The 9,302-nt window shown below is 40.6% G+C and overlaps 2 annotated features.

Annotated features, from left to right (window-relative positions):
• Nucleotides 947-1,634: an enhancer, noted in NCBI's record as "H3K27ac-H3K4me1 hESC enhancer chr1:200195876-200196563 (GRCh37/hg19 assembly coordinates)". NCBI's record gives its function as "activates a minimal SCP1, AML or CMV promoter by ChIP-STARR-seq in naive H9 embryonic stem cells {active_cell/tissue: H9 hESC(naive)}" and the evidence as "EXISTENCE:reporter gene assay evidence [ECO:0000049][PMID:30033119]".
• Nucleotides 3,558-4,076: an enhancer, noted in NCBI's record as "NANOG hESC enhancer chr1:200193434-200193952 (GRCh37/hg19 assembly coordinates)". NCBI's record gives its function as "activates a minimal SCP1, AML or CMV promoter by ChIP-STARR-seq in primed H9 embryonic stem cells {active_cell/tissue: H9 hESC(primed)}" and the evidence as "EXISTENCE:reporter gene assay evidence [ECO:0000049][PMID:30033119]".

The following is a 9,302-nucleotide window of genomic DNA, read 5'->3' as shown; positions in this document are numbered from 1 at the left end:
AAGGTCAAGAAGAGACGAGGGTAACTGGGGAAACATATAATGCCTGACCACGTTTTTTTTTTTTTTCCTGGGGAGAAGTGTTTTGCCTCAGAAAAGTGTCACGTGGGCATCACTTTGTTCCATTTAATGTATGCATTGATGCTGAGATTTCGGAAGTACAGAGTTCTGTTGTTTGTATCTGCCTGACACACACAATCATTGGAAAGTGAAAAAGGAAAGGAATCTGTTCATTGTATGTGAAGCAAAAATGCAACATCCTGACCCTGACGGGAAACTCAATTTTCGTGTTGTTCTTGTCAAGCATTTGAGTGCGTTGGAATACTCCAAGGGCTGAAGGCACACATTCGGTGTGGTGAATGGAATTAGGTTTAGTGAAACTGATTCATTGTGCAGTCTTGCTAGATTGGAAAACTATGGTATTTAGTCTTCTGTTAATATATGCAATACATTAACAGAGTAGCTGGCAGATCCTTTTTGAAAATATCATCTCACAAGGACATGTTTTACAAATTTAAAGATGAATGCTTTGCAATGAATGTGCCTTTTCTTATATCATGAAAATTCAGTTGACTCTGAATGATTATCTGAATGGTTTGCAGGAAAAGTTGGAATTAAGGCAGAGTCTTCTGTTGATGAGTGTGAACTTTTGTGTACTAGAAGTAATTACTCGTTTATGTGTGTACAAAAAGACAAGTCTCCTTAGGAGACTGCATATAGAAATATCTGTTTCCCAATAAGAGTTCCAGAAAAATCCATTGATTTCTAATTTTCTATGAAGAGTCCAGATGAAAATTACCAAGTATTTTGTAGTCTTTATTTTAGTGTGTATTTTAAACTATTATTTATGAAAGATAAAACTGCAGTTTTGTATATATCTCTATATATCTAACTATATCTGCATATACCTGACTATACATAAAAGTGATACGGTACCATTTCAACTTAGAACTTTAAAAAGAAATGATTATAGTAGAATGGTGAAAAGAGGAGCCAGAAGTTCTGGGACACAAACGTTTTCTTTTGCACTCTGATTTCAGGAACTTATGTCAGAACTTCCTTCATTTGTACAAATAACCAACATAGTCAGGTGGTCCACAAAGTCTGGACCCAGGCAAATATACAGGATGGCATTAGGAACATCTTCAATCTTTACTAAGAATTGTATTATATGATTTGTTTCCTGACTTTATGGACAGCCTGTATTAAACAGCTGCTTTGTGAAGGTGCTGTGCAAGAGAAGCACACAGCATGTTGCAGCATGCCTGCTCCTGCAACCCAAAGGCTGTGTCTTCACCTGCTCCCACCACTCTTCTGCCTGCCCGGGGCAGGTGCATGTACCCTTTCCAAAGTTTCTGAACTTGAAATTATTGGGCAAATACATCTTAGAAAGGGAAAATGATAATACAAAGTAGCAGATAATGAAAATGAAGGGACAGTCAGCTATAGGGGATCAGAGGCAGGGGGAAGTCATCACAGGCTTGGGTGAGTCAGGAAGGCTTCCTGGAGAAAGTGGGACTTAGACTGAGCATTTTGGGTTAAGTACAGATGATGAGGATGGGGTGGCCCTTCTGGGCAGAGAAAAACGTATGCTCCTGTTTGATCGCCACTGAATGTAATTTGTGAACTTCTCTAAAGGTGCTCCAGGAATCGCAGGTGCTACCCAGCACTTCCTGTGCCTCATTTGTAAAATCGGGGATTGAGTCTAATCTCAGAGGCCCCTTGTAGCTCTGTGGTTAATTGTGATTTATAAGCAACAAGGCTTCCTGCCTCTGGTTACCTTCAAGAACAAACGACAAAAACCATTTGACACATTTTTTTCTTCAGTACCATCTTATTGCAAACCTCACATTTCTGATGCGAAGATCTTTGTCATTCTTCCCTTTGCCAGGGCGAATCTTCTTGTCCCTTCCCCGGGCCTTTTCTTTATCTGCTGATTGAGACTAAACTGATCATTTAGCACATGGCAGGAAGCCGTGGGTGCTGAATCATCATTTCTCGCCTAATCTATTCTCATGCAGCTGGCTCCCTTGCAGTCCTTCAGCCTAGATGAAGAGAGAAAAGAGGGTGAGAGAATTCAATTCCCAAGTCAGGCACTCGAAATGAGAAAAGGCTTTCCTGCCTGAGAGGTGTTCAGAGGAATCTGGTATGACAGATTTGAGCCAAAGCTGTGAAAAGAGTGAAAGACACCAGGATAGAGAAATCGGGGTGTTGCAGAGTGGTTGATTGGGTGCTTCTAAATTTCACAACGTGAAAAACACTGACAGTATAAAGCTATGTCTTAGAAATTTCAGAAGCAGGCTGTCACCTCTGCCTAGAACTGCATTACCCCTCCCTAAATAACACGAATTCTGAATTTTCTGAAGAATTAAACTTTTTTTTTTTTTTGAGACAAGGTCTCACTCTGTCACCCAGGCTGGAGTGCAGTGGCACAATCTTGGCTCACTGCAGCCTTGACCTCCTCAGGCTCAGGTGATCCTCCTGCCTCAGCCTCCCAAGTAGCTGGGACTACAGGCATGCGCCACCATGCCTGGCTAATTTTTGTATTTTTCGTAGAGAAGAGGTTTTGCCGTGGTGCCCAGGCTGGAAAATTAAATTTTAACAATTGAATTCAAGGGAGTGTGAGTATTAGAATATTAGGGCCTTCTTAAGAAGGCTTGCTTTGAGGTCAGATCTCTGGCCCCAATGTCTTGTTCTCCCATTTTGTGTGTGTGTGTGCATGCACACGCACACAGGAAGCATGTGATTGCTCTTCAAACCATTTTCAAGTGAGTGGAACTCTTGTTAGACAGTCAAGATTTGTCATGAGGATACGGACTAAAACATTTTCCTGTTTTTATTGATACTGATACTGTTGCAATTGGTGCAACTCCAGTAATCCAATTTCTTGGTCAACTTTCATTATGCTAAAAATAGTGAATGCTTAAGGCTGTTACATGGAAGATCTGAGATTTAGGTCTATCTCTAAATCCGTCTTACATATTGGAAATCTCTCAGAGAGGACATACAATGTTATATACAACACACACACACACTCTCTCTCTCACACACACACTGATATGCCAACAAGGAGGAGAAGTTAGAGATACAGGGGATTCAGACATCTTATACAAAAAATCAAACTTGCCCAAGAGTTTCTTGAAGGACATTTTGGCCTGGACAGTGTAGAATCCTTTGGAAAGGTGGGTAGAAAATGCTTAAGCTACCATTGGAAAAACAACTGCTCTATAAATGTGCAGCTGTAACATTAAATTGGAGATCCCTGGGATACTTATAGAATCATAAATTCAGTAGCAATATTACTTTTAGGAGATTTGGATAAAGTGGTTTAAAATGAACTTAGGAGCCAGGTACGTAGTAGACAGTGGGAGGAGGATGACCAAGGAAGCATCTCGTTGCTTACTTATCAGAGGCCTTGCATCCTCGTATTTCGTTTGAACACATATTTTATTGTGGAAACTTAAAAAAAAATTATATTTACTGAGAATAAGTTTTAAAAATACAAAACTTATCTTGATCTTTCTAGCTGTTGCTATGGTCTTGAGTAATACATCATTAAAGCTGTGGCACTCCAATGATGTATTAAAGTAATATATCATAACAATGCCATGGCTTTGATGATATATTAATGTAATACATCGTTAAGGTGCCATTGGCCTCATGATGTATTACTCAAAACACTACCAATTTGTTAGATCAACACACAGAGACCCGTGTGTTAGGAACAGAAGAATGGCAAATGATTTTGGTCCAAAACACAATTGAACTTCTTAGAGATGTCTCACCCACAAAAGCAGTTCTGTTAAGATTGGATGGGCTTCAAAGACTTGCTCAAGAATGGTGGGGTTGAATCACAGTGAAGGGCAACAAAGACGTCTGCTGTGACTGCATTAGCAACCTGTGCCTGGGGCCAAGTTTTCACGCGGGGGAAGAAGAACATGCCTATGTTTTACCTAGCAACAAACAATGTGGTTTACTTGCATGATTTCATTAAATCCCCACTGAAATACTATAAACAAACTCAATTTTAGAGATCAGGAAGCTGAGGTGCAGAGAAGTAAAGTGAGGTCTCATAGCTGATAACTAGTGGAGCCAGGACTTGAGTCTATGTCTGCCTAACTCTAGAGCTGGGTTGGGTGGGGTCATTCTAATTTTGTGCCCCCAATTTAGGAATTATTTTTTCTATCTTTAAAGAAAAACTTGGGAGTGAGCTGGCTTCCTGTCTTCTCCCATACCCTCCCTCATCCTCCATCCTTTTAGGTATACAATATGCAGAGAAGATACTTGGAAAAATAGATCTGGAAAAACATAGGCAATGCTAGACAGGTATTTGGCAGTTGTTTTTTGTATTTTCTCAGGGTCCTACCAAATGCCTAAACAGTGGTTGAGGGAGGAGTGGCCCCGCGTAGGGGGGACTCTGCTGGTGACCAAAAGCATAGCTTTGCCCCAAGCTCCCCTATTGTTCAATTGAAAGGCCTCCTCCCTAGCTTCCTTGCTTCCACTCTTGCTCCCACTACAAATCCATCCTCTACACAGTAGCCAGAGTGATTACTTAAAAATGTAAAATGTCATGTCATCATTTTTCCCTAGTTCTTTTCAGAAACTTCCCACTGCACTTAGAATAAAATCCAAACTCATTACCCTGGCCTCCAAAGCCTGGACTTTCTTGTGGGGCTTCACTGGTCTTCTTTCTGCTCCTTGAACAGGCTCGTTGCTTTTGCACAAATCAACGGACTTTTGCACTAATCTATGAAATTGACCAGCTTTGTGTGGTTGTTTCTTTCTTGTCACTCAGGTGCCACTGAAATGCCACTTTTTCAGAGAGGCTGTCCCAGATCACCTGTTCACTCTTGACCACATTCCCTGCTGTTCTCGTCTTCTCACTCCCTAATATTTGATAGTTTATCTATCTGTTTATTGTCTTTCTCCTACAACTACCAGTGGAAAGTTTGGACCCTGCCCCTCATGTTCCTGGCTGTATCCCCAGGGCTTACCACAGCCTGGTACATAGGAGGGGCTCAACAAAGATGACTAAAACCAAAGACTTATTTATTTAAAAAACAAAAGACTCGTTTATTGTGTAATTGACCATAGTGAAGATTCAAACATAAGGTTTTACAGAGCTAAACAAAAATGAGATAGAAAATAATACAAAAGGAGTCTGAAAAAGACATTTGACACATGTGTATAAAATAAGAAATGGGCCCTCTCCACAGGAATTAGAAGAGACTGAGAGAGAGCTGAACTAGGATTTACTGAATGCCGAGGCAGACTTTGCAGGGCTCCTTCCATGCATGACCCATTCTGAGCCTCCGGGGGAAGGGTGTGTGTGTGTCACACGGTTGTATGTGATTACATTTATTTTCACGTGGTCATATATTTGTGTGACATTTGGTGAGAAATTTTAACCATACCACTCCACTCTCATACTTCTTCCCATGTTGGGTGATTTGGGATAGCTGTGGGTATTTTGTACCCACAACCATCATGGGTATTTTGTATTTGTACTTTTATACATTTTTCTTAAAGAAGATCCCTGAATTATACTAGTTTCAGGCCCCCCCCAATTTAGATCCATTCCTGGTTGAAAGTATGTTATGGAAAGGTTAGAATGGGAAAAAGGAATATGGTTGCTAACATCTTGATCAATCTATATGGTAGAAACTTAATTAATTTTAAGTAACCATTTCATTTTACAGTGAAAAGGAATTATAGCTTATGACTTATTATAACTATTTCTTGTCAGAGAAAAAGCTCAAAGCCTGGAAAATATTGGGAGGTTTCTAGAACTTTCTTCCCCTTTACAACTCACATGTTCTTTACCTTATTTTCTGGGGGTCTTGTAAAGCAATTGACTTTTTAATCTTGGATAAATTAACTCACATTAAGATGTTATTGATTTAGTGTTTCCCTTCCCAGAGGAATTTGTGGTTAGGGAATACTCGAGGGATGGCAATGGAGTACGAGTAATTTAGGGCAACATGGTACTTAGAGGCAAGAAAAATTTAGACAGTCCTCAAATTAAGATAAGTCCTGACTGAACTGGCCCTTAATTACTAAATGAACTAATTAAGGCAATATTTGCTGAGTGTCTTCCCTATGCTAACTGTTGGGGATTCAATGGTGACCTAAATCAGAAGCCACCCCTGTTCTCATGGAGTATCCAGTATAAACTATCATCCCCACCCCTCATCTCCCCAAGAGAAAAACCAAAAACTGTGTGACACAGACCTAGGCAGAGCTTGGCAGGCAGAGCCCAGGCAGGACTTTACTGGACAGTGACCTGGGCTGGGCACCTTTGTGCAGGGCACAAACCCAGTAGGGTTGGCTCTGCCCACAGTCAGCTGTGGGAGACACAAAAATCAAATAATTGCTCACTCAGCCAAAGCTGGGAGGGAAAGGTATAAGGTCCCTACTAGCTTATGACCGAGATCCTTGCCTGGACAAGGGCATCAGCAAAGGGTTCCCTGAGAGGCTGCCCATGGCACGGAGATTTGAGAGATAAAGATGAGAGTCTGAGGAGAGTTCAAGGGGAGGATGTGGTTTGGAGGTGAGACCTGGGGAGTGTACCAGACAGAGGGAATAGCATGTGCAAAGGCCCAGAGGTGGGAGGGAGCACGACAAACTTGGAGGACTTCCAGAAAGCCTGTAGAGCTAGAGGGCACAGAGAGATCACGGAAGCTGGGGGAGAAGGCAGGGCCACAGCATGCAGTCCTGAGACCCTACTCAAGGGCTTCATCTGAGGGGCAAGGGAATATTTTTTGAAGGAATGGTGACATTCAGCAGACATCGAAAAGATATATCTGGGCCAGGCGTGGTGGCTCATGTCTGTAATCTCAGCACTTTGGGAGGCCGAGATGGAAGGATTACCTGAGGCCAGGAGTTTGAGACCAGCCTGGCCAATGTAGCAAGAACCCATCTCTAAAAAATAAAAAAAAAATTTTAAAAAGACATTTCTGGCTTCAGTGTGGACATGTGGCAGTAGAGGTTGTGGGGAGACTAGTGGGAGGCTCTTACTGTATCATGGTTTGGGTGAGAACACTGGCTTGGACTAGGGCAGTGACACAGGCAACCCCTTCAGCTTTTTGTGGTTACCTGTCACGGTCATTATGTGTATCCTGGACTCTTTTCTCAAACCAAACAAATCAGTAAGACCTCAAATAATAAAGTCTTCAATATTATTTTCTTTTTTTGCTTGAGTTTTAAAGTATTTTCTTCATATTTCAGATATAAGTTCACTCAATCCATCTCACTACAAGAAACTTGTTTTTCCCTGATTGTCTTTTCACAAGACTCTTTTGATCTGTACTTACAGCATTCTAGTTTGTCATAGAAACTCTCTTTTTATTATTTACATTAAGTAAAAATTTCTATCTTCAGATATATTAGTCATATAGTAAAATATAGCAAATTACTCCAAAACTTAGTAGTTTAAAATAACAGTGAACATGCATAATATACAATTCTGTGGGTTAGGAACACAAATGGTTCTGGCTCCAGTTCTTTCAAAGTGATGTTGACCAGGCGTGGTGGCTCATACCTGTAATCCCAGCACTTTGGGAGGCTGAGGTGGGCAGATCACCTGAGGTCAAGAGTTTGAGACCAGCCTGGCCAACATGGCAAAACCCCGTCTCTACTAAAAATACAAAAATGAGCTGGGTGTGGTGGCAGATGCCTGTAATCCCAGCCACTTGGGAGGCTGAGGCAGGAGAATCATTTGAACCCTGGAGGCGGAGGTTATAGTGAGCTGAGATCACACCACTGCACTCCAGCCTGGGCAACAGAGTGAGACTCCATCTCAAAAAAAAAAAAAAAAGTGATGTCAAGTACAGTTGAGGCCGCTGACATCCACCGATGCGGAGGGTCTGCTTCCAAGTAGCTCGCTCACATGGTTGGCAATTCAGTGCTGGCTGTTGGCAAGAGGCCTCAACTTCCTGTCCTGTGGACCCCTCTTTGTGTGTCCTCATGACATGGCACCTAGCTCCCCATAGTGAGTGGCCCAAGAGAGAGCAAGGGAGAAGCTGCAATGTCTTTTCTTTTACGATCTGGCCTTGGAGATCACACTCCATCATTTGTACGATACGTTATTGATGATGCAGGCCAGCCCTACTCAATGTGGGAAGAGACTATGGACTACTTGGAGCATGAGTACCAGGAGGCAAGAATCCCTGGGGGCCATCTTGAAGGCCGGCCACCATAAAAGGTGAGACACAAAATAATACATCCTCATATGCACATGGACAGATATCAAAGACCAATTAGACGATGTATCTTTCCTAATCTTAGGAATTACACTTCAATTTCTAAATTGTGTATAAAGTACTCAATTTAGAAATAAATTAGTACTATAATTAGCACTATTTATAGTACTATAATTAGTATTATAAATTTAGTACTATAAAGTACTAAGTTCAGTACCAAAAGGTCATGTTTCATGTGTCATTCACAATTGCTAAAAGATGAAAAGAGAAAGCTTGACTTTCCAGTGTAAAAAAATGTGAAATTACAAAATTCTAGCATGTAAAAATAAACCTATTTGGTTTTAATTAATAATGAATATCAATTACCTATAAGTAAACAAGATACATAATTAGAATTAATTCTAATATTCTAGAATTAATAATACTAATATTCTAAATTATAGTGGATGAATATTGTTTGTACTTTTTGTGAGACCTATTTAAGACTTTAGAGATGGTGGTAGGGAAAAAAAATTATATGGTCCCTGAAGAGATTAAGCATAAACTCATAAAAAATAGAACATACCCACAAAAATTTTCCAATTTTTTTTTTAATTTAAAAGGCACAATACAATAGCAAAAGAATGATATCTCATGGTGTGTTGCTGAATGGATTGCACAGCCAATAGGTGCCCGTTCAAAAGAGGAAGGGATCCCTGCAGGCAGGTGGGCGATGAGCTCCTATGGAAGCAATGGACTCTGAGCTGTGTATCACAAGGCTGAAGAGAAGTCATCAATCAGTCAATCCAAGAATTAATCACCTATTATTCTCAAACATCAAGTTAGATGGGTATAAAATGATTCCTTCCTTCAAGGTGCTTTCAGTTCAGTACTGAGGTAAATAAAAAAGAGGAGGCTTTCTGGGCAAATGGAGTAGTATGAGCTGCAGTACAGTGGAATGGGGGTTTCATGAGTGATGAGGGAGAATCAGGTAGTGAGTTGACAAGGGACTTTGAGATTTTTTCTGCAGATGCTGAAGAATCAGTTACATAATATGATCAATATATACTGTACTGTTTTTATAATATATATATATATACACAGACTCTTTATATGCATACACAC

Source organism: Homo sapiens, chromosome 1 (genome assembly GCF_000001405.40).
Source record: "Homo sapiens chromosome 1, GRCh38.p14 Primary Assembly".
NCBI classification, from domain to species: domain Eukaryota; kingdom Metazoa; phylum Chordata; class Mammalia; order Primates; family Hominidae; genus Homo; species Homo sapiens.
This window is presented reverse-complemented; position numbering and strand designations above follow the sequence as displayed.